The 25,334-nt window shown below is 46.9% G+C and overlaps 1 protein-coding gene across 22 annotated transcripts; it reads right to left on the bottom strand.

Annotated features, from left to right (window-relative positions):
• Nucleotides 1-259: 259 nt before the first annotated feature.
• Nucleotides 260-21,960, bottom strand: LILRB1 (leukocyte immunoglobulin like receptor B1). Of its 22 annotated transcripts, none has more exons than XM_047438080.1 (17): nt 21,727-21,960; nt 20,933-21,646; nt 7,649-7,765; nt 7,175-7,329; nt 6,976-7,011; nt 6,495-6,782; nt 6,045-6,347; nt 5,522-5,818; nt 4,964-5,266; nt 4,594-4,644; nt 4,261-4,311; nt 3,519-3,641; nt 3,103-3,178; nt 2,986-3,023; nt 2,673-2,725; nt 1,630-1,788; nt 260-1,550 (listed from the first exon to the last, which is right to left on the bottom strand). In XM_047438080.1, the coding sequence occupies exons 4-17, from the start codon at nt 7,314-7,316 to the stop codon at nt 1,404-1,406; spliced, it is 2,067 nt and encodes a 688-aa protein (XP_047294036.1). In that variant the 5' UTR covers nt 7,317-7,329; nt 7,649-7,765; nt 20,933-21,646; nt 21,727-21,960; the 3' UTR covers nt 260-1,403. The 22 variants fall into 22 exon arrangements, 21 of the variants coding, with proteins under 21 accessions (XP_047294036.1, XP_047294037.1, XP_047294038.1 ...); XM_047438081.1 differs by having other exon boundaries at nt 1,630-1,785; XM_047438082.1 differs by having other exon boundaries at nt 4,261-4,308.
• Nucleotides 21,961-25,334: the final 3,374 nt, after the last annotated feature.

The raw sequence follows: 25,334 nt of genomic DNA, 5'->3' as shown, positions 1-25,334 counted from the left end.
TGCGCCACCATGTCCGACTAATTTTTGTATTTTTAGTAGAGATGGGGTTTTGCCGTGTTGGCCAGGCTGGTCTTGAACTCCCAGCCTCAAGTAATCTGCCGCCTCTGCCACCCTATGTGTTGAGATTACAGGCGTGAGCCACCGCACCTGGGCACATTGCCACTTTTTCTATTCTCAAGAAACATTTGTGATGCTCTGGGTGTGTTTGTGTGTTTCATTAGTGTGTCAATATTTGTAAGAAATCACCAATGAAGCTTCGTGAACTCGAGATTATTTTTATTATAGTCAATGTTTTTCACACACACACACATATATATACACACACACACACATCTAAAATGAGTCAGATTCTCTGATTACTCTTATGTTCATTATGTAAACTCCAGTTTAGAATATTTCATCTATTTAATCTGCAATTTCTAGTATATTGGCATAGGTTTGCCGCCTGTTCCATTGTTAGTTTTGGAAAACGTGTGTACGATCTGTAGGGCTGTCTGCTGGCTCACTCCCATATGGAAATGCATGCCTGCTCTTTCTTTCTCTTTTTCATTGTAGTTAGAATTCATGAGTGTGATTCATGTTTTCAAGAATGAGCTTCACTGGCTTTGTTGAATTTTCAAGCTTTGGTTTTTCCTCATGAACAACTCCTCTTATTATTGTTATTATTCCCTTTCTTACGCCTTCATTTGGAATAACTTGTTATTCTTCTAAATTTCTTTTTTCTCTTTTTCTTTCTTTTTTTTTTTTTTTTTTAATTTGAGATGGAGTCTCCCTCTGTCGCCAGGCTGGAGAGCAGTGGTGCGATCTTGGCTCACTGAAACCTCTGACTCCCTGGTTCAAGCGATTCTCCTGCCTCAGCCTCCCAAATAGCTGGGATTACAGGCACTGCCACCACATCCAGCTAATTTTTGTATTTTTAGGAGAGACAGGGTTTCACCATGTTGGCCAAGATGGTCTCGATCTCCTGAACTCGTGATCTGCCCGCCTCGGCCTCCCAAAGTGCTGGAATTACAGGCGTGAGCCACCGTGCCCTGCCCTAAATTTCTTATAGGAAAGCCAAGATCATTCATTTCCTACTTTTTTTCTTTCCTAATTCATTCATTCGTGGCTTGTAGTTTTCCAGTTTCATCGCTTGATGTGTAATATTTACATTGTGATTCAGTTTAATGCACTTTCTGACTTAGTTTTCTCAGCTACTTCATTGATTATTGAGAAGTCTGTTGCTTTATTTCAAAATTGTAGAGACATTAGTTATTTATACTGCAGAATTGAGTGACCCCTAAAAGTTCCCAGAGTCTCCTGGGGTAGATCCAGGCTGGGTGGGGTCCAATGGTGTCCACTGGGGGGGCAGCTCCCATGCATTCCAGACTCCATGGAGTGTGGGGTCTGCGTCCCCCCCTGGGCTAGTGGATGGCCAGAGTGGCGTAGATGCTGGGCACAGCTGGAGAGGGCCCTTCCTGGGATGGAGGAGGCTCAGTTGCCTCCCGTCTGAGGGTCAAGCTGTGCAGCTGGGCGTAGGTCACATCCTGGGGGGCTTCAGATGCAGCAGCCTGCAGCGGGGGAGAGTGAGAGGGAAGGAACGTGGTGGGGGTGGGGGAGGCCTGGGGGCCTGGAGAGGAAAGGACTCACCTCAGTGTCCATCTGCCTGTCCTCTTCCGCCTGTCTGTCCTTTGTGTCCAGGAATTCCCCAGACAGTGGGGAAGGAGGAGAGGCCATTTCTCTCCTAGGTCTGGAGTGTTTCACCTCGGCATACGTCACTGCCTGGGGGTCTTCATCGTGTGGGCTCTGCTGGAGAGAGACAGTGGTGGGGGGTGTCCTTGAATCCTCCTGACCCCCTGGAGTCAATTTTCCTCACTGTTCCCCGGGTGATCCGATTACATCCCTTTCCCGATGGAATCTCAGGGACGCCCTAAGGCCGTGGAGGGTCTGGCCGCTCCCTCGCTGTGGTTCTGGCCTCTGCTCCTCACTCTGACGTTGCCCATTTGGCTGCAGCCTCACGGGCCTTCCTGCAAGAGCTCGCTGCTGCCTGGGGGCCTTTGCAGGGTTGTTTCCTCTGCCTGCAGGGGCTCGTCCATCAGAGGATCGTGTGCCCCACTCTGTCCAGGCTTCTCAGATGACAGCTGAGCAGACAGCCCTCCCCTTCCATTCAGACTGGCCCCACTGCCCCACACTCTCTGCCCTTTCTCTGGTTTATGTTCCTTACAGCACGTTGCACTCCTGGAGGCGGCACATTTATTTGCATTTTGTCTCCCACCACGAGGTGAGCTCAGGAGGCGGGGGCGGCTTTCCTCCCTGCTGTGTCTGCAGCTCCCATGGGGAGCCCCATCCACAGTGAGCTCCCTGGGAACACTTGCTGGTTGAATGAATGAAGGGGAGCCTGGGGGACCGGGGTGGTTCATTTATTCCTCATCCTCCTGAGGCCTGGGGAGAGCTCTAACAACCAGACGGCCAAACAGAGGATGAGGAGCAGGAAGGGGACCCGGGAGGAGGCCCACGAGGTCCCAGGACAGCAGGAGAGAGTGAGGTCGCAGCAGGCGGGAGGCAGCGTGCTGGACAAGGAGGGGTCCACCGTGACGATGCTGAGAGCCGGGGGAAGGAGGACAGAGAAGTTCTGCAGGATTAGATCTGGCACCAGGAGGCCTTTGGTGCCTGGGACAGGGGTGGGGTCTCACCCGAGTGTCCATCTCCACCCCATCCTCAGGCTGTGTGTGCTTCACGGCAGCATCTGCTGGGGCAGAGCAAGGGGTTTGTCTCTTGGGAAGGTTCCCTGGGACCTCTGAGTCCTGCCAGCCCCTGCTCAGCTCCCAGATGGGGCCACTGAGATGCAGGGAGGGGCTGCGATGTCCCTGAGGCCCCACAGTGTGGGGTGAGATGATCTCACCCTGAGCCCCAGACCCTTTCCAGCCAGCGCCCCTTTCCCCATTGCTACGGAAACTTCGGGGCCCCCATCTCCCTCCTGGCTGGTCACCTCTTCCTCTCACTCACAGAGGTTTTCTTCCTGGGCATCGGCAGCTGGGCTGGACCTGGGGGAAGAATGGGAGCTTTAGGGGCAGTGTATGGGCCACGAGCAGGTGGGAGTCTGGGGTCTTCGGGCAGAATTACCTCCACTGCAGGCCTCTGTCTGTGGGCTCTGGCCCCACAGCCCCTGCAGGATGTTGGAAATCAGCCTTTCTCTGGGCTGGGGGAAGAAGGACAGAGCCTCAGCCCTGGGAACATTGGAGCCCCCTGCCCTGCACACACAGCTCGAAGGTAAGGAAGGAAACCTAAAAACACTCCTGCCTCCATGTTCCAAATGCCTCATAGGATGGACAGAGCCCGAAGGACACTTTACATTTGTAGATGGCACTGAGCCCGAAGGACACTTTACATTTGTAGATGGGACTGACTGTCGATTGGCCTGGTGAGAAATGCTGGAACAGTTTCTCAAAGCTGCATTTGCCCAGTGGTTTGGATTCTCTTTGGCTGTGCCCTGAGCCCACCCTCGGTCAGCCCTCAGGGTCCCCCCATTCCCTACTCACTCGATGTCCAGTGTTTGCCCTGACGTCGATGTCGGAGGATGAGGAAGAGGAGGAGGAGGAGGAGGAGCAGTAGGATGACGGCCACCAAGATGCCGATCACAACCCCCAGGTGCCTTCCCAGACCTTGAGCACGATGATGTCAGGGATGGGGGTGATGTCATTGAAATGAGCGCCTACTGTGTGCAGGTGACTGCTGGACCTTCTGTTCACCACCTCCAACCCCCACAACAGTCGTGCAGCACAGAAACATCCACCCCACCCACTGTACAGATGAAAAACTGACGCTCAGAGAGGGGAATCGCCTGCCCGGGGCCCCCAGCCAGGAAGCGGCAGAGCTGGGAAGGAAGCCCAGGAGTCTGACCTGCAGCCCTTGTTCCTGCACCAGAGCCGAGCCCCGGAGCTGCAGGGAAAGAGCCTGACCGTCCTGAACCATGACTCTTCTCCCCTCCCCTGCCCCAGGTCACCGTCTCTGCTGCAGGTGGGACGGGACAGGCCCCCGCGGAATCGGGTCTGGGAGGTTCCCTGGGAGGCCTCCTCTCCCAGGAGGTCACAGCTGGGAGTCAGAGCTGAAAGGAACTTTCCCACCCGCAGGCCTCTCACCTTTACATTTGGAGAAACTGAGGCCCAAGCAGGGGAGGAGCCTGTCTATATCACCACCTCCAGAGGAGACTGAACCTAGGACAGAACCCACCCCTGCCTCCCCTGGACCCTGCCCACCTCCCACTCAGAGCCCGTCACTCACCACTCTGGGGATCCGACCCGGTGGGGGTGAGGGGCTGGTCCTCAGGGCCTGCTGGGTCAGGACGGGGAGGTGAGGGCTGGGGCTGCCCTGCTCCCCACATCAGCCCGGCTGCTCCTCCCCCAGGCTGGGCCCCAACATTTCTCTCTGCCTTGACCCCCCACCCCTCACCAGCCCAGCCTCAGAGCCCTGGGGACCCTGTGGCCCCTCCTCTGGCTCTGCCCGGCTCCCTGGAGGGAAGCTCGAGTCTTTGAGGGGAATGGGATTCTCTGGGAGACCCAGGGCTGCCCTGGGGGAGGCCGCACTCCCTTGAGTTCAGAAGCCTCAGGGACTCACCAGATGTGGAGGTGGGGCCTGTTGTCGGGGAGCTGGGGCCCCCAGACGGTCCTGGGTAAAAGAATGAGAGGAGGCTGAGGAGCTGGGGCTTTCCTGAAGTCTCCACCTCAAACCAAATTTCTCTACATGGGACCTGTGGCCTCCCCAGGCCCCTCCCTCCACCCGCCTCTCCTGTCCATGATGCTGGCGATGCCACTGAGGGTGGGCAGGCCTGGGAGGGCCCTGTTCTCCTCCTTCCCTCTGAGGGTGAGTCTCCCACTGGCTGAGCCCCTCTCAGACCCCCGCTCACTCCATCCCAGCCCAGAGCTCTCCTGGGGCAGGGTCTGAGCTGAGACTTTGAGCTCAGAGAGGACAGGGTCAAGGCCCCCACCTGAGACCACGAGCTCCAGGGGGTCACTGGGGTGAGTCAGCAGGTAGGGTTTGGAGCTCTGTGAGCCGTAGCACCTGTAGGTCCCCGCATGGGCTGAGGTCACAGGACCCATGGGGAATTCAGCCTGGTATTTTTGAGATTGGTACGTTGATCTTAGACGCCATGGGTCATCAGCTGCCCCCTCCTTGGTCAGAAGGAAAGTTTGCATCCATCCCTGTGACTGACACAGCAGGGTCACGTTCTCTCCTGAGGCCACCGTGGGGCCCGGCTGCACCGAGAGGGAGACTCTGTCATAGAACTGTCCTGGAGAGAAGAAGGATGGGCGAGGGGCTGCCCCACCTTGCTCTGAGCTGACACCTCCCCAGGTCTCCCTCTGGGACCCTCAGTGTCTCTGTCTCTGTTTTCTCTGAGTCTCCCCCTCCCCGCCCATCCCCTGTCTCTGTCTGTCTCTCCCTCCCTTGGGACCCCCATCCCTCATCCCGGCCATCACTACCTGAGCTCCCCCGGCAGGGCCTGTGCGGAGCCTGGGTCCCTGACTGAACCCGCTGGGCTCCTCACCTGCGATCAGGATGTCCAGGGGGTCGCTGGGGGCCGACCACTCGGAGGAGAGGTTGTGTGCACCGTAGCATCTGTACTGGCCCCCGTAGGAGCGGCTCACAGGGCCCAGGGTGAAGTTGGCCTGGGAGAGCCCAGCCTGGGGCTGTGCGCCAGCGAGCTGAAGGAAGTCACGTTCCCCGTCCTTATACAGAACAAATCTGTTGTAGCCAGCATCAGAGCCACACTGCAGAGTCAGGGTCTCCTCAGGGGCCACGATAGGACCTGGCTGCACTGAGAGTGATGGCTTCTTAGAAACACCTGGGAAAAGGTGGTCATGGTTTCCAGGAGCCGACCCTCAGGCTTCCCCACAAATCTTCCCTTTCCCCCGGGGCCACATCACTGCTGATCTTCCTGTGTCTCTGGCCCCAGGAGCCCTGAGCCCTCTCGCCCCAACATCATCCCACCTGGAACTGCCCTGAGACGCGGCTGCTCCCCACCTGCCTGGAGACTCAGGGAACTCCAGGCAATGCTGTGAATTTCTCACCTAGGACCAGGAGCTCCAGGAGATCACTGGGTAGAGACCACTCATAGGGAGAGTTCGAGTCATAAGCATAGCACCTGTACCACCACCTGCGACTCGGGCTCACGGGGCCCACGGAGAAGATGGCGCGGGACGACCCACGGGCATGGGGCTGGGAGTTCAGGCATTGTGGGTGTTCATCTTCTCCTTCCTTACACAGAATGAAGCCATCAAATGCCACCTGTGAGTCACACTGGAGGGTTACATTCCCTCCTGAGTTCACCACGGGGCTGGGCTGGGCTGAGAGGGTGGGTTTGATGTAGGCTCCTAGGAGAGAAGGAGGCACCGTGTTAAATGTGGCTCAGACCACCCGCGTCATCCCCAGGGCTGGGCTGTGAGAGGGAGAAGCCCCTGAGAGCCGTCCCCCTTCCTGAGGGCAGAGTCTGGGGCTGGGACCCCTGAGTGTCAGCTCACCTGTCACCACCAGCTCCAGGGGGTCACTGCTCTCTGAGCGGCCTGCAGTGTCGCTACCATAGTAACAGCGATACCGCCCTGTGTGTTCCCAGGTGATGGATGGGATGGGGAACTGGCCCTTCTTCACAAGCTCCTGTGGGATCCGTGTAATCCAGGGTGCTGTTTTCTTTTCTCTATATAGACGGTACTCCTGGGTCTCCTGGCCCCCCTGACACCTGAGGGTCACAGGACTCCCCTGGGTGATCACAGAGCCTGGTTCAGCCCAGAGGGTGGGCTTGGGGAGGTGCCCTGGAAGGAAATCAGGAGTCAGATTCTAACTCATTTCCCACCCAACCCAGCAGATTCCAGCTCTCAGCCCAGGACCCTCCAGACGCCCCCATCAGTCAGCCCAGAACTGCTATTCCCCATCCCCAGCGGCACGGGGGTGGCCCCTTGTCCCCAGTGAGGAGGAGGGACCTGGAAGAGCTGGGGACAGACTCACCTGCCTGCACGTGGGTCCGGGGGCCCAGACTCAGCCCTGGAAGAGAGTTCCCGGTGAGGGATTTGCCCCCTGAAGCCTGGGCAGGTCCTCCCCTCCCTGGGATCTTTGTGAGCCCCTGGGGTCTCCTTAGGGACAAGAGTTTGGCTGTGGGGTGAGGTCCCTCTTAGGTTAGAAGCTCCCCTCCTTCTTCAAATCTCACCGAGACAGATCAGGACCGTGAGGATGGGGGTCATGGCGTCTCCTCCCACTGCCCTGCTCTGTGGATGGATGAGCCCTCGGTGCTGGCAGGATAGAGAGACACACAGAGTGTGGCCAATCGGAGGCTGGGTCCTTCTTCTCATGGGGTGCTGTCATCTGCAGCCACACAGGAAGTGGAACTGCCCTCCCCAGGACCCTTGCTCTCATTCCATTAGGGCTGAGGTGGGGGCAGTCACTAGGCCCTCTGCATCATTTCAGATGGTAATGGGCCCTTTCCTGACCCCCAGCCACCGTCTGTCTGGTTTGTTTTCATCCCACTGAGAGCCAGGATGTAGCAGCAAATAAAACTGGTTCCTTCCTGTGTCTGCCCTTCCTGACGAGGGTAGCGGAGGCATCTCCTTCCTTCTCACAGCCTCCCACATGGTCACCCTCCCTCCTTCAGCCGTCCATCAGCTCAGTGTTGTGGGGTCCTTACCATGGCAGTCGTCCCTCCAGCCCTGGAGATGCTTCAGGGAAGACCCAGGTCCATGCTGCAGGCAGACTCAGATCAGCAGAGACGCATCTCGCATCTGGCTGTGCCGCCCAGGCTGAGCTGCGTGTGGCAGTGAGCACAGAAGAGAAATGCAGGGAAATAGGGAAGAAAAGTTGACTTCTTTCTTGACACTGGATTGTGGGTTTTCTTTCAACCAAATAGTCCCCTCTTAACTTCCCCTTTTTAAAATATTTTGCTACAGTGTCCAACCCCACCCCCCGGGAACAAATCTCTGAGTCTTTCCTGCCTCCTCGGTGCCCTTTGCTTACTTGGCCGTCCCTCTGCACCTCAATCCCTGTTCAACGCTTTGGGAACAATGACTTATATTTGAGCTTTGATTTGGGGAGTTGGGGGGGAGTTATATTTATTCAACGACTGGTTATCATCCACTGCCTACGTGACCTCGGGCGGTAATGAACCATCTCTGAGCCTCAGATTCTTCCTTTGCCGACTGTTGTCACAAATCCCACTCGTGACAGTGGTTGTACGGTCAGTGGTGCTGGAACATTAGGAGGGGCTCATTTGTGCCTGATTTCCAGACCAGGGTAAGACCTGAGGTGTTTGGGACATAAGAGGATCTTGGCGTTGGACTCCACAGTCTACGTAGGTGATTGATGTGTCCACTCTGGATCTCACATCTGACCCTAATGGATAGATGGACGTGTATTTGTCCATCTATCTGGGCATTTCTGAAATACCCAGAGCATCAATGTCATGAGCAGAAAAAGAGATGTGGAAGTTCCCAAGTGTAGATGGATCCACAGGAAAGAACAGAGGCCACAGGTGAGATGCCACAGGGACCTGGGACCATCAAGGGCTCATTAGGGTGGAGGTTTCCACCACTGAGTGGAGCCAGGAGAGGAACCTCGGGATCTGCAATGACAGTGAGGGGCTCAGGGCTCCAGACCAAGGTGGGAGGCTGCGTCCTCCAGCTACACCTGAGGCTGGAGTGGACCCCAAGCAGCCCAGGGGAATTCCCTCAAGGGAGTGCACCAAACCGTCCAGTGACAGAGCTGCTGGGATTCCAAAGAAAGAAGCACTAAACACCAGGGTGTTCATAGATCATTTATTAGGGAGACTTCTGCACAGTGGGGCACCCTCGTCTCCTTGCCCAGTGTCTCCTTGTGGATCTCAAGGATGTGCTTCCACATAGCAGCATCTTCTTCAGATGGACAAGGAGACACTGGGTGTTCTACCCGAAGCTTTAACTTAAAATAAAAATAAAAACAAAAATAAACCCCTAGAGAATATGATCTCTCAGTAGAGTTGTTTCTTGGGATACACAGGCAATTCGTTTCAGTACCCGCTACATGCACCAACACCTGCTCGTACTCCAGCCCCGACATTGTCTCTGCTGGGCCTGCATATAGGAAAAGTCTGCCGTTCATATACACAAGTCTTGCATCCCACAAATGCTACAGTTTTGACCCCCGTTTGGTTGAAAAAAGTGTGCATATAAGAGACCCCAGGAATTCAAGGCTGCGTTGCTCCAGGGTTGTCTGGATTTTGAGTTTATTTGGGAGTGAGAAGCAAGGATTACAATCTGGAGTGCATGGCATGGCAAGCCACAGTGTGTCCGGAGAGGGAAGTGTGATGTTGTGATACACACTGGTTTTCACCTGCGGTTCCTGGCTCATAGCTCCATAGCCCTTGTTACAGTCTTTTGTTATAACATTGGCTGTGTTAGGCCTTAGGGGAGGCCTCTGACCTCCTCCTGCCCTTCCTTCACCTGCCCAAGGCAAGACTCTAATGTCCCTGCCTTTCTGATGGTGGCTCTTAAGACCCTCCCAGAAGATGGTCTCAGCCTGTTCCTTGTGGGAGGAAATACTGACATCATGAAGCTTCATAAAAACCCAAGAAGACTGGGTTTCGTGGGTTTCTGGGTGGTTGAGCATGTGGAGACTCCTGGAGGGTGATGCCCAGGGAGGGTATGGAAGCCCTGCGCCCCTTCCCCCATGCCTCCTCCTATGAGTCTCTTCATCTGTGTCCTCTGCAGTGTGCTTTGTATTCAACCAGGAAACGTCAGTGTCTCTCTGAGTTCTGTGAGCTGCTACAGCAAATTAATCAAACCCAAAGAGGTGGTCATAGGGTCCCCAACTTGAAGCCAGTCAGTCAGAAGTTCTGGAGGTCTGGACTTGGGAATGGTGTGGGGGCAGTGTTGGGGACTGAACCATTCAATCTGTGGGATCTGGGACTGTCTCTGGGTAGACAGTGTCAGAGCTATGCTAACATTCTCAAATATCTGCTAGCCGTGATAAATAAATCAATGTACTTTATGTTATTAGCTCCCACAATTTAGCCTAAATATTTGCCCTGGCATGCTTATACTGGTCCAAGCAAGCATTAGGTCATAGCCTGTTCCTCTTCCTTATTTGAAGGTGTTTTCACCTTTCTCAGCATTCCACAAGTTACTTCCTCCTTCCTTTGTTCTGCTCTACCTTTGCCTCTTTTCAGAAGTTCTAAGTTACTAGCCAATCGGGACAAATACAGAGTGTGAGGTCCTGTTCCAGCCAGTGGAAACCGGACAGAGCAGTAGGGTGGACGTGTCAGGTTATAAATGACCCTGTCTCTTTTGTTTTGTGTACTCTCGAAGCAAAACTGCTGGTGAGTGTACCCTTGCTGCAGAAAATAAAAATGGTCTTGCTGAGTAAATTAAATTTATGTTCAAGTGCTATTTGTTTACGGCACTGGGGAAGAAGCATTTAAACACTCAGCTGGCGTCCGCTACTGGGTCTAGGAAAAAAAATCCCACACATCTGGTCCTAGAAGTCTTCTTCTGTGAGGATGATTCCTGTGGTGTGAGAGTAGAGGAAAAGCACCATAGAGAGAGCTCTCTGACATACAGAAGTAAAGGAAGTTCTTATCAGCAACAAGAGAGAGGCTGACAGAGCTGCTTAGAAACAGAGTTCCCTGATTCCAGAGGTTCAAAGCCAGAGTTGCTGTCAGTCCATTGGAGGAGATGCCGTTGCTGGGCAAGTTTTTTCTCGAGAGCATCTTATCTGAATTCCTGACATCCTAAAGAATATCTAGTGATAAACCTCGTCAAAGCAGGAGGGGGTGAAGGACATGGAAGGGTTTCTTGTGGGGTTTTTAAAAAGTCCTTAGAAGCAGCTCTTATCTGAGAGCTGGAAGCATGGGCCTCCTCTCCTTCAGGCCTTCCTGGCCCTGTGGGGTCTGAGCTTGACCAAAGTCATCTCATCCTTGCACATGTGACTTTCCTATTGGGTGTCTGCAGTGAAGGGATTGGGTTACGAAGTTTAACCTGAGAGTTTCAGGAATTTCGTTGAGGGGAGGGCTTGTTTCTACCTCTTTAGCAAAAGGGTTAATTTTTCAGTGTTTTCTAAAAACAACCTAAAGTGCTTTATCAGTACTTGGGGATGCTGAAGACCTCAGCTTGGGTTCCAGCCTGCAGGTGAAAGCATGCATCTGTCCAACCCACAGAGCAGCCATGGCACTTTGTCTCTCTCTCAGAACAAAGCAAAAAATGGAGGAAACCGTGGGACCCTAGAGAGACTGTTGTTCTCCCTCTTCTGTGTTTGTGGACAGACCCTGGGATAGCTCCCCTCAGTGACCCGGGCCACACTCAGCATTGAGCCACCTTCCCGGGTGTGCATGACACAGATGCGCTTTATCACTGCTGGACCAGGCATCTCTAGCACGTGAGTGTGAGGCTCACATGGGCCCCACCATGCCGGACAGAACACAGAGCTGATTCTAAGCTTGGCAGCATGGACACCGCAGGGCAGGAGTGACCACAGCAATGCTCCTCATCAGCTTTCCTTCCTGAGTCAGCCCGGGGAGAAACTGTATGGAAGATCACATGTGTGGGAGAAAAACCCACCCAAGAGAAATAAAAATCAAAAAGTCCATTACAGAAAAAACAGGCAATTATAGAAATGAATTAGGAAGCTACTGTGAGGTGAAAAATAGTAAATCATATCAACACATTTAGAAATAATTGCATCAAGAACAAGACACAGCTGAAATGATGAGCATAGTATTGGTGTGGAATATCTATTAAATTTTTCATTAGTCATCAGAGAAAAACTAGAAATGAATAAAGTAGAAAACATAATTAATGCACACAAGAAATGGAATGAGAAGAGGAAACAGGTATCTCTCTATGGATCACACTTTCAGAATGAAGGAAATAAGGAGTACGTTATTCAGTAAATATTGCAAAGAAAATGGTTGACATTTTTACAGAAATGAAGAAAGAACATGAGTTTAATGTGAACAAATTAATAAATAACATCAATGTCTTAACTATGATAGAGTAAAAGATACCTAGAATAGATACAAAGTAATTTTAAAACTACTGGAGAAAATGAAAATTATTCTCAAATGAAAGACAAGCACATTGGGACCGGATTTCCCAAGAGTAAAAAGTGACAAGAAAATGATTGTGGGCTGAGGTTCAAGTTGGCTGAATGGAAAGGGCTGGAGTCTGCCTACTCACTAAGAGGACCCAAAATAGTGAGTAAATACCAACAGGTCAAGTGGATCTTCCAAGAGGATGCTGGGGTTCACCTGAGAAACATGAGGACATGGAAAGAAGAGAAGAGAAAAGGTGGGAGCCAGGAGAGGCTCCTAACACGGGGAAGGGGTGAGTGAGTGAGAGATTCTCTAACACGGGGAAGGGGTGAGTGAGTGAGAGATTCTCTAACACGGGGAAGGGGTGAGTGAGTGAGAGGCTCCTAACATGGGGAAGGGGTGAGTGAATGAAAGAGTCCCTAACACGGGGAAGGGGTGAGTGAGTGAGAGGGTCCCTAACACGGGGAAGGGGTGAGTGAGTGAGAGATTCCCTAACATGGGGAAGGGGTGAGTGAGTGCGAGGCTCCCTAACCCGGGGAAGGGGTGAGTGAGTGCGAGGCTCCCTAACACGGGGAAGGGGTGAGTGAGAGGGTCCCTAACACGGGGAAGGGGTGAGTGAGTGCGAGGCTCCCTAACACGGGGAAGGGGTGAGTGAGTGAGAGGCTCCTTAACAAAGGGAAAGATTGAGTGGGTGTGAGGCCCCTGGGATCCACACCCCTGTCTTGGCCCTTTACAATCCTGGTCACAGGAGAGCCCCTGACCCCCCTTGGCCTACAGAGGCACAGGGAGTTCCCAGAGATGGTGCAGAGGCGCCTCTGGAGCCCACGTGGAATCCCACAGGCTTCTGATCCCTGAGCAGCCTGGGTCCAGCTGCCACTGCCTTAGCAGGGAGGGAGGAGGCCAGGCACCTCTGTGGGCCCCAGAATAAGTATGACAGCTGGGGCACAGGAGCAGCCAAGCTGAGCACCACACAGCTGCCCACCTCTGTTGCTTCCTGCGAAATGGGGCTTCCTTCCTGCTAATGGGGCTTGCCAGCTGCAGGGCCCCAGTCACCCGTCCTGCCCCCACCCGAACACCGTGGCCCTGGCTCAGTGCCCTCTGAAAGTCCAATGCTCAGAGGCCCCTGACAAGCCCTTTGCAGTCACTGCCACCTCTGCCTCTGTCCCTGCTGCCCCAGGCCCAGGGAGGGTGTGGGGAGGCCTGGCACTTTCACGTGTCCCCAGAGCAAAACCGAGTGACACTTCTTCAGGAGGGAAGTGTGAGCGGGCCCTGTGCCTCACAGCTGCCAGTCTCCAGTGCCCCAGCAGAGGGGCCCTGCCCTCCCTAGTGACAGGCCCACAGCACAGCCACCCTGCCCCCACCTGGACATTTCAGCTGCAGCCCCCAGCCCTTCTGAGAGCCCAGTCCCCACAGGTCTGTGATCTGCCGCAGGCTCTACCACCTGAGCCTTCTGCCTGCCCCGCCTGAGGGTTCTGCCTGTGCCCTGGGGACCAGCCCATCCCTCCCCATCACAGCCAGCATCTGAACCCCGGAGCAGCCAAAACCCAGTCCAGCCCCTTCAGGACTCACACACGCTGTCCAGCCGGCCACCTAGGGGCCTGTGATCCGGGAACTACCTGCCCTTTCCTACCCTGCTGGCACCTGACCACTCACCCCAGGGCCTGAGGTCGGGCCCACCCAGCCAGCAACACCACCACAACTGACGTCCACTCTCCCATCCAGAGAGGCAGAAGCCCCACATCCCACCTACATGAAGCAGCTACCACGTCAGACAACAGACAGCCGCTCAGGGTCTGCACTGGGCTGAGGGAGGAGGCTCTGCCTTGGAACCACGCCTGCAGAGAGTGGCAAGGCAGGTGTTTCCCACGGCCCTCAGCCACACTGTGGCCTGGGGAGAGACAAAAGTGTGTGTCTGAACTGAGACTCATGAGCCCTGGAGCACGGGTGTGATAGGGAGACAGACAACGTTCCTCCCTATGGGACTGGAAACGGTGTAGCTCCTTCACCCCCCGCAGAGACCTCAGGGCATTTCACTAGGAGCTGCTCCAGCCATGTCCATCAGGACTAGTGCCTGCACTCATCACTGGGATATCTGTGGGCAAGCCGGGGGTTCCAGCTCTGCCCAGGGGTGTTCCCTCGCCCCTGTGGAACACAAAGCTCAGGGCACCTGACACTCCACGGTCCAGCCCTTCCCCTGAAACAACAGTCAGCACCTCACAGGAAACACACCAGGTCCATATCCACCTGCTTGTGCCGAGGGTGGCTCTTACCCTTAAGCACCAGCTCCTGGCCTGCAATTTGAGCTGCACAGCCCAACACAAACCCTGCTGCAGAAGCTCCCAAAGCCATGGGAAAAGCCAAAAGACCCTTCCCAACATGCTCTACAGTCACCCTCCCTGCGGGGCCGGGGGAAAATGTGCAAAACAAATCCCATCCAAATGAAAATAAATTCGAAGAGAGTAAGTGGAGGCCTCTCCAGAAGAGAAGGAATCAGTGTAAGGATTCTGACGCTGTGAAAAATCTGAATATTGTGGCACCACCAAAGGATCGCACTGGCTTGCTAGTGATGGATGCTGAAAACAATGGAAACTCTGAAAGGACAGATAAAGAATGAGATTGAGACAAAAACATTACAAAGAATCAGTGAAAGAAAACGTTGGTTTTTTGAAAGTATAAATAAAATTGAGAGATGGCTGACTACACTAACCAAAAAAAGGAGAAGATTTAAATAAGCACAATCAGAAATGATAAAGTTGACATTACAACCAACGCCACAGAAATACAAATGACCATCAGAGACTACTATGAACACCTTTATGCACGTAAACTAGAAAACCTAGAGAAATGGATGAATTCCTAGACACATACAACTTCCTAAGATCGCACAGGCAAAAAATAGAAACCCTAAACAGACCAATAACAAGTAACCAAAAAGAATCAGTACTAAAAATCTTCCGGCAAAAAAGCCCAAGAACAGATGGATTCACAGTCGAAATTTGCCATATACACAACGAAGAGCTGGTGCCAATCATAATGAAAGTATTCCAAAAAATCAAGGCGATGGGATTCTTTCCTAGCTCATTCTATGAAACCAATATCACCCTGATAGCAAAATCAGACAGGGATCCAACAGAAAAATAAAGCTACAGGCCAAGAAACCTGAGGAACACAGGTGCAAAAATCCTCAAGAAAATGCTATTAAACGGAATCTAACAGTGTATCAAAAACATAATTCATCATGATCAAGTTGGCTTGATTCCAGGGATGAAAGGATGGTTCAATATATGCAAGTCAATAAAAGTGACTCATGACATAAACTAAGAACAAAAAGCATATGGTCATCTCAATAGATGCAGATAAAGCGTTCGAGAAAGTCCAATATCCCTTCATGATAAAATCCCTCAACAGACTAGGCATGAAAGAAACATACCCCAAAATAAGAGCCTTATAAGACAAACGCACAGCCAACCTTAAAATTGAATGGGGAGAAGTGAAAGCATTTCCCCAAGAAATGGAACAGGATAAGGATGTCCACTCTCACCACTCCTATTCAACACAGTACTGGAAGTCCTAGCCAGAGCAATCAGGCAACAGAAAGAAAGAAAGTGCATCCACATTGGAAAAGAGAAAGTGAAATTATCTGTGTGTGCTGATGACACGATCATATACCCAGAAAACCCTGAAGATTCTTCCAGAAGACTCGTAGACTTGGTAAGTGACTTCAGTAAAGTCTCTGGATAAAAAAATCAAGCTACAAAAATCAGTAGCTTTTCTATACATCAGTACCGTTCAAGCTGAGAATCAAATTAAGGACACACAAACACAAACACACACTGAGGAGTATATTTAACCAAGGAGGTGAAAGACCTCTACACAGAGAGTGACAAAAGGCTGATGAAAGGAACTGTAGGCAACACAACCAAATAGAAAAATATTCCTTGCTCACAAATGGGAAGAATCAATATTGTTAAAATGACCATATTGCCCAAAGCATACTACAGATTCAACACAATTCCTATTAAATTACAAATGTCATTTCTTTAACAGAATTAGAGAAAAAGCAATTTTTAAATTCATTTGGAACCAAAAACCAGCCTGAACAGCTAAAACACTTCTATGCAAAAAGAACAAAACAGGAGGCATCACATTGCCTGATTTCAAGTTATACTATAAGGCCATAGTAACTAAGACAGCATTTACTAGTACAAAAATATACACAGACATCAAGGGAACAGAATAGAGAAACTAGAAATAAAGATACATGCCTACAACATACTGAGCTTTGCTAAAGTCAACAAAGTAAACAATGGGGAAAGGACACCCTATTCAATAAAGGATGCTGGAAAAACTGGGTAGCCATATGCAAAAGAATAAAACTGGACCTTTATCTCCCACCATGTACAAAAATCAACTCAAGATGAATTAAAGACCTCAATGTGAGACCTGAAACTATGTAATTCCTAAAGCAAAATTTAGGAAAAACCCTTCTGGACATTAGTCCAGGCAAAGAACTTATGGTAAAGACCCTTAAAAATGCAACAAACCCCCGAATAGACAAATGAGACATGATTAAAATTAAAAGCTACTGCACAGCAAAAGAAACAATCAACAGAATGAACAGACAACCTACACAATGGAAGAAAATATTTGCAAATTATGCCTCCAACAAAAGACTAATGTCCAGAATCTGCAAGGAAGTCAAAGAATTCAACATGAAAAAAAAAAAACAAAAAACACAGACAACTTTATGGAAAACTGAGTAAAGACCATCAACAGACATTTCTCAAAACAAGAAATATAAGTGGCCAACAAACACATTAAAAAATGCTCAACATCATTAATCATCAGAGAAATTCAACTTAAAACCACACTGAGTATCAACTTACACCAGTCAAAATGGCTACTTTTAAGAAGTCAGAACCAACAGATGTTAGCAAGATACATGGTTGGTAGGAATGTAAATGAGTTTATCTTCTATGGAAAATAATATGGAGCTATCTCAACTAAAAATAGAACTACCATTTCACTTAGCAATCCCATTACATGGTATCCAGCCAAAGGAAAAGTCATTATATTAAAAAGACAATTGGGTCAGGTGTGGTGGCTCACGCCTGTAATCCCAGCACTTTGGGAGGCCAAGACAGGCAGATCACCTGAGGTTGGGAGTGTGAGACCAGCCTGGGCAACATGGTGAAACCCTGTCTCTACTAAAAATACAAAAAATTAGCTAGGCATGGTGGCGAGCACCTGTAATCCCAGCTACTTGGGAGGCTAAGGCAGGAGAATCGCTTGAACCCAGGAGCCGGAGGTTGCAGTGAGCAGAGATGGCACCATTGCACTCCAGCCTGGGCAACAAGAATGAAACTCCATCTCAAAAAATAAAAAATAAATAAATAAATAAGACAACTGCACTCATTATGTTTGTTGCAGCACTATTCACAACAGCACAGACATGAAACCAAACTAAGTGTCCACCAACGGTTGATTGATTTTAATGGTTACTTGGTTCATATGCTTCATACACCAGCCCCACCTGGCTCGCATACAAAGCATATTCACTGCTTCATCTGGGATGCTGCACTTGGTGTTTTATAGGGAGAGTTGGCTAGTCCCCTTCTCAGGGCCAACAGACCTTTCAGTGGCGTTTGTCTGGTCCACTAAGCTGGTTGTTCTCTCTGGAATAACCTCCTGTGCATTTGGATCTCATATACTCATTAGTGATTGTTTAATAGTGAGCTACGGGTCCTGCATCAATCCAAACAAGCTCTTAAATTCTGAAGCATTTAAAATTAAGAATGTGGGCGTGAACCTGGGAGGCAGAGCTTGCAGTGAGCCGAAATCACGCCACTGCACTCCATCCAGCCTGGGCAACAGAGCAAGACTCCATCTCAAAAAAAAAATTAAGAATTTGGCCCTTAAAGTGGTTATTTTTTACAATCTACCACATAGATTATTTTTAAGAAACTGATTATAACAATCTAAAAAGCAGAACAATTCCTTTGCATTATACCCTCTGGTTTTAATAGTTACTTGTTTTTGCCCTTCCTCTATATCAACTATCTTCTTGGTAATCACAGGTCTCAGAGTTAACTTTTGTTGTCCTGGCTAAATTGTTCTTTTTATTTAGTTTTATCTCCGTAATTTTTTCTTCATTTTAAAGCAACTCTTAAATAGTTTCTTAACTAGAAAAAAACCTACTTTTTTTTTTGCAAAACCTATATCCTTGTGTTTTATATGCATCACCAAAAACATTTTATACTCCTACTATTTTAATTTAGTAACCCAAATTTCAAGTGAAAAAAAAAAAACGAGGTTTAACATAACATAGCTCTAATTACTGGAGAGAGTTTTAAGATTAAATTTACTAAATTAATTTTACTAAATATTAAAATCAGGTGAATTCAAAGGCATCTTAGCTAGTGTCTGCCAATCTGATAAGCACTTACTTTTTTTTAAAAAAGACAACTGATGAGCTGTTTCATGTAGTTTGGTAGTGAAATATCACTTCCAGATAACACATATGAAGATACAGATATAACAGGCATACAGAAGAAAAAAAGCAGGTCTAAAGGATATTTCATTTTTCTGTTTTTAAATAAAAATTCCTCTCTTACTTTAGATAATTAATAAAAGTTACAGAAGCCAACACAAGGTGAAGGAGAGAGCTATCATCCAAGGCCTTTCAAAAGAGAAAAAGCTGAACTTTGATATATTCATTGGAAGAATTTCAAAAAGACAGATTATAGAATTTAAAAATTAAAAACTTTTTGCATTAAGAATAAGTTAATATTTTACTAAAACCTTGTTTTAACCAATTATTTAGTTTTGGATTAGGGTGTGTTTTTTAAATATCAAAGACCCATCTGTAGAATGACTATTATATTTCTTAATCATAACCAACTACATTACACTACCTTTCTTTTTTTAAAAAAAGTCTTATTGTGACTTACAGAGACCACTTACAACATGCTTAAACTGCCTGTTTTGTCCTAAATATCCCTCTTTCTTGAACTATCAGTTATTTTATTTCAGGACAAAAATTCACTACATAAGACTTTCTTGTGTAAAATTACTTTCCTTTTCATCTTTTTTACCAAAATTCCTCTTTATATTTATAACTGTCTTTACATCTCTTATTTCCTGTTTCCATTTATCTTGTTTTATACATAACTTTTAAAAAAGCTTTGAATTAAACACAGATATTTATCTTTTAATAAGAATTGTTTTTTAAAAATGTTTTCCTGTAATTTTTAAATTATAAATTACCCAGCTAATCAATTAATATCTATTATTTAATATAACTTTAGATTGTAAATTATGTGACAAGTTTGTTTATAGGCATTTATTCCATTGCATTTACTTGATAAACTTATTTAATAGTTTACCTAGATTATTTATGAACACTGTGACAGTCATCACTTAAAGTTAATTCCCTGTTAACCAATGTTATAAACTATGAATTTCAGGTGTTTACCTAAGTAAGGGAACTTATGGTTAAATATAAAGTTATTTTTTTTAACCAATATCTCAGTAGTTAGCTGTTTTTATTTAACCAACAATATTACATGGCTTATTTATTAAAAATTATACAAGCAAAGATCATTCTGTTTTGGGCTGGGTTTATAATTTTGTTTTGTGTGTGTCAGGCTGCTCTTGAACTCCCAACCTCAGGTGATCCACCAGCCTCGGCCTCCCAAAGTGCTGGGGTTACAGGCGTGAGCCACCGTGCCCGGCCAGGTTTATAGTTTTATAACCCTTATGGAAAATCTTATACTATTCTGCAGGGATAAGCACAAAACCACTTGTGCAATAAGTGCAAACAAAAACGCTAACAATTCTTAAGACATTTCTAATCTTATTTTACCAATAATTTTAAAGCCAGCTTATTTATTAAAGATTTTACTTAAGTGAACTTGAAGAAGCATCTTGTCCTGATAAAGTATTTGATTTAAGCACTTTTATTCTCTTTAAGCCAATTAATTAGAGCTCTTTTGTATATTTTTAGTAGTGAAACATTATGTACACCACACACAGATTCATGGACGCATTAGGCATGCTGATAGAAGTACATCTTATAGATTCAAAAAACCTCTTTTTTTTCTATCTCAAACTTTCAAACTCTTTTTTTTTCTTTTTTTCTTTTTTTCTTTTTTTTTTTTTTTGAGGCAGGGGCTCACTCTGTCACCCAGACTGGAATGCAGTGGCATGATCCCAGCTCACTGCAACCTACATCTCCCATGCTGAAGTGATTCTCCTGTCTCAGTCTCCCAAGTAGCTGGGATTACGAGTGTGCCACTACTGCCTGGCTAAGTTTTGCATTTTTAGTAGAGACAGGGATTCACCATGTTGGCCAGGCTGGTCTTGAACTCCTGATCTCACATGAGTCACCTACCTCAGCTTCCCAAAGTGCTGGGAATACAAGTGTGAGCCACCACGCCCAACCCTTTCAAACTCTTCATAACCTGTTTCCTTACCCCAGGCAGTTGTCAGCTAAATAACCCTAAATTTCCATGTTACAGGAAACACTTTTTAGGAGAAAAAATCAGCAAAACTTACATCTCAAAGTACAGAGGAAGAAGTCTGGTGTGTTAGAGGGAAATTAAAATGGGTTCACTGCCAATTAAACATAAAATTATACAAATCTATCATAAAGGCTTTTAAACACACACACACCACACACACACACACACACACACACACACACACACAGACATCCTGTAGCTTTTACTTCAAAACTCTAGCCATGAGATATTAATATAAATTTACCAGCTTGCAAAAAAAATTTGGATCTAAACAGTGGTTTTTATCTCAGTAGAAAGGTAACAGCAGATGTAAAGCAGGCAGAAAAGAAAATAGAGAAAGAGAGAACTTAGGAACTCTATAGCGTGCAAGCCGCCATTAGGGCTCTCTTACCTTGATGTAAATGTGCACAAAGACCATAATATTTTTGTTTTACACAAACTCCAGAAAGTAGAGGCGCCATAAAACCAATGGAGTGCCCACAAGGGGGTCACTCTTCTTGCTTTCTCCTCATTCTTAGATTATTTGTTTCCCACTTTTTCTTTTCTTTTCTTTTCTGTTCCTCCTCTCCTCTCCTCTTTTCTCTTCTCTTCTTAAAGGAGGAAGTGAGCTGTGGGCTAGAGGTTTGTGCAGTGGGTCACAGTGTGCTGGTTGTGGGTGGGACTCCACAGGGTCTCACCACTGAGTCATTTCTTCCCTCTCATGTGTCTCAGTTTCTCTCTCGGAAGGTCTAAACACCTCCAGGAGGGCCCAAAATGCAGAGTGACCAGCTCCCATATGTGCTTCCTGGACAAGCCTTTTTAAAACTCATTTTGTTGGGTGTTCCCTGTAGGCCACTCACATCACGATGGGGTCCATCCACCCCCAGACATTCCCACAAGCACCCCTCATCACTTCCCACATTTTGGCTGGGAGGAGCAAAATGCCCTTTCTTTTTTAAGCTGAGGAAACACAGTCTCTCGTTTCCCTATGAAAACAACAGTTCAGTTCCTCATGCAAATGTGAACAGACAAGCCAAATCGAGATTAATTTGGGGAGAAAAGCAATGGAGAAGACCCTTTAGAATGTATCTCCCAACTAGAAGTAGGATCCTTAAACAACAACTTCCTAGAAAGAAAAAGAAATAGTAGATCAGAATAAATAAAGGGCCGTCAACCAAAGGGAGGTCGGGGCTCAGGAGGACTTACCACTTCTGGCAGAGAAGAAGCTCAAAATCCTGGAGGCTTTCAGTGGGCCCCTGCTGGTACCTTAGCTCCAGGTTGAGACAACTCCTTTGGGGTCCTGAGTCTTATCTGAGGCCTCACGTGTTCAGGCACCAAATTATTGTGGACAAAAAGAGTCAAACTCTGTAATATATTAGAAGAGATTTTTCTGAGCCAAATATGAGTGATCAGCACTCAGGAGGTCCTGAGAACATGTGTCCCTTGACTTTTTAATAATAGCCATTCTGACAGGTATCAGATGGTATCTCATTGTGGTTTTGATTTGCATTTCTCTCATGATCAGTGATGTTGAGCTTTTTTTATATGATTGTTGGCCACATGTATGTCTTCTTTTGAAAAGCGTGTGTTCATGTCGTTTGCCCACATTTTAATGTGGTTGTTTGTTTTCTTCTTGTAAATTGGTTTAAGTTCCTTAAAGATACTGGAGAGTAGACCTTTGTTAGATGCACAGTTTGCAAAAACTTTCTCCCAGTCTGTAGATTGTCAGTTTACTCTGTTTACAGTTTCTTTTGCAGTGCAGAAACCCTTTGGTTTAATTAGATCTCATTTGTCAATTTTTGCTTTTGTTGCAATTTCTTTTGGCATTTTAGTCATAAAATCTTTGCCCGTGCCTGTGTCCTGAATGTATTGTCTAGGTTGTCTTCCAGGTTTTTATAGTTTTAGGTTTTACATCCATCAATCAATCCATCCTGAGTTAGTTTTTTTGTATATGGTGTAAGGAAGGGGTCCAGTTTCAATTGTCTGCATATGGATAGCCAGTTATCCCAGCACAGTTTGTTGAATAGGGAATCCTTTCCCCATCACTTTTTTTTTGTCAGGTTTCCTAAAGATCAGATAGTTGTAGGTGTGTGGTTTTATTTGTGGGTTTTCTATTCTGTTCCATTGGTCTATGTGTTTGTTTTTGTACCAGTACCATGCTGTTTTGGTTACTGTAGCCCTGTAGTATAGTTTGAAGTCAGGTAACATAATGCCTCCAGCTTTGGTTTTCGGTTTTTGTTTTTGCTTAGGCTTGCCTTGACTATTTGAGCTCTTTTTGGGTTCCATATGAATTTTTAAATTTAAAACTTTTGGTTCCATATGATTCTTCTAGTTCTGTGAAGAATCTCAATGATAACTTAATACAAATATTACTGAATCTATAAATGGCTTTGAGCACTATGGCCATTTTTAAGATATTGATTCTTCCTATTCATGATCATGGAATATTTTTCCATCTGTTTGTGTCATCTCTAATTTTTTGAGCAGTGTTTTATAGTTCTCCTTGAAGAAATTGTCCACCCTCCTAGTTAGCTGTATTCCTAGGTATTGTGTGTGTGTGTTTGTGTGTGTGTGTGTAAACTGTAAATGAGATTGCATTCCTGATTTGGCTCTCAACTTGACTGTTATTGGTATATAAATGCTAGTGATTTTTGCACATTTATTTTGTATCTTGAGTCTTTGCTGATGTTGTTTATCAGCTTAAGAAGATCTCAGGTTGATGTTTGGGTTGATGTTTTCTAGATACAGGATCATTTCATCTGCAGCAAAGATAGTTTGACTTCCTCTCTTCCTATTTGAATACGCCTTATTTTTTTCTCTTGCCCAATTGCCCTGCCTAGTATTTCCAATACTGTTGAATAGGAGTGGTGAGAGAGGGCATTCTTGTGCCAGTTTTCAAGTGGATTGCTTTCAGCTTTTGCCCATTCAGCATGATGTTGGCTGTGGGCTTGTCATAAATGGCTCTTATTATTTTGAAGTATGTTCCTTCAATACCTAGTTTAATTAGAGTTTTTAACAAGAAGTGATGTTAAATTTTATCAGAAGGCTTTTCTGCATCATTAATATAATCATGTGGTTTTTTGTTTTAGTTCTGTTTATGTGATGAATCTGTTTATTGATTTGTGTACGTTGAACCAATTTCAGGCTCATTATTGGTCTGTTGAGGAATTCAATTTCATCCTGGTTCAGTCTTGGGAGGCTGCACGTGTCTGAGAATTTACCCATTTCTTTTAGATTTTCTAGTTTATGTGCATACACGGGTTCATTATATTCTCTGATGGTTGTTTGTATTTCTCTGGGGTCAATGGTAATATTCCCCGTGTCATTCGTGATTGTGTTTATTCGAGTCTTCTCTTTTTTCAATTAGTCTAGCTAGCAGTCTATTTTATTATTTTTTTCAAAAAACCAGCTCCTGGATTTGCTGATCTTTTGAATGATTTTTTTGTGTGTGAAGGAACCCAATCTCCTTCAGTTCAGCTCAGATTTTGGTTCTTTCTTGTATTCTGCTAGCTTCGGGGTTTGTTTGCTCTTCGTTCTCTAGTTCTTTTAGTTGTGATGTTAGGTCATCACAACTAATGTGATGTGGACATTTAGTGCTATATATTTTCCTCTTAATACCCCCTTAGCTGTGTCCCGGAGATTCCGGCATGTTGTATCTTTGCTCCCATTAGCTTGTAATAACTTCTTATTTTCTGCCTTAATTTCATTATTTACCCTGATGTCATTCAGGAGCAGGTTGTTTAATTTCCATGTAATTGTATGAGTTTAAGTGAGTTTCTTAGTCTCGATTTCTAATTTGATTATGCTGTGGTCAGAGAGTGGTTTGTGCCAATTTCAGTTGTAACAAACTGAATTTGCTGAGGAGTCTTTTGCTTCCAATTATGTGATTGAATTTAGAGCATGTGCCATGTGGTGATGAGATGAATGTAAATTCTGGTTTGGGGGTGTGGAGAGTTCTGTAGATATCTATCGTGCTGAGTTCAGGTCCTGATTATCTTAGTCAATTTTCTGTCTTGATGATCTGTCTACTATTGTAAGTGGGGTATTAAAGTCTCCCACTATTATTGTATGGGAGTCTAAGTCTCTTTGAAGGTCTTTACAAATTTCTTTTATGAATCTGGGTGCTGCTGTGTTGGATGCATAGATATTTAGGAAAGTTAGATCTTCTTTTTTATTTATTTATTTATTTATTTATTTATTTATTTATTTATTTTTAATTATACTTTAAGTTTTAGGGTACATGCGCACATTGGGCAGGTTAGTTACATATGTATACATGTGCCATGCTGGTGCGCTGCACCCACTAACTCGTCATCTAGCATTAGGTATATCTCCCAATGCTATCCCTCCCCCCTCCCCCCACCCCACAACAGTCCCCAGAGTGTGATATTCCCCTTCCTGTGTCCATGTGCTCTCATTGTTCAATTCCCACCTATGAGTGAGAATATGCGGTGTTTGGTTTTTTGTTCTTGCGATAGTTTACTGAGAATGATGATTTCCAATTTCATCCATGTCCCTACAAAGGACATGAACTCATCATTTTTTATGGCTGCATAGTATTCCATGGTGTATATGTGAAAGTTAGATCTTCTTGAATGGAATGAATGGAATTCTCATGGGAACATGATCAGGGTTCTAAGATCCATGAAGGTGTCAGTTTGAGTGATACACATTTTTTTTTTTTTGAGACAGAGTCTAACACTGTCGCCCAGGCTGGGAGTGCAGTAGGGCAGTCTCAGCTCACTGTGACCTCCTACGTCCCAGGTTCAAGCGATTCTCCTGCCTCAGCCTCCCGAGTAGCTGGGATTACAGGT

The sequence above is a fragment of the Homo sapiens genome, chromosome 19, assembly GCF_000001405.40.
Source record: "Homo sapiens chromosome 19, GRCh38.p14 Primary Assembly".
NCBI lineage: Eukaryota > Metazoa > Chordata > Mammalia > Primates > Hominidae > Homo > Homo sapiens.
The sequence above is the reverse complement of the archived record's forward strand: the minus strand, read 5'-3'. Positions and strand labels throughout refer to the sequence as shown.

What these genes read in the sequence shown, in the direction of transcription:
- LILRB1 (XM_047438080.1), bottom strand. Translation starts at nt 7,316, where the DNA reads ATGAGAAGAAGGACCCAGCCTCCGATTGGCCACACTCTGTGTGTCTCT. An exon ending in TGCCCAGGAAGAAAACCTCT is followed by an intron (nt 2,726 to 2,985) that starts GTGAGTGAGAGG and finishes CTGCCCCAGCAG; the next exon opens with ATGCTGCCGTGAAGCACACA. An exon ending in ACAGGCAGATGGACACTGAG is followed by an intron (nt 1,551 to 1,629) that starts GTGAGTCCTTTC and finishes CCCCCGCTGCAG; the next exon opens with GCTGCTGCATCTGAAGCCCC.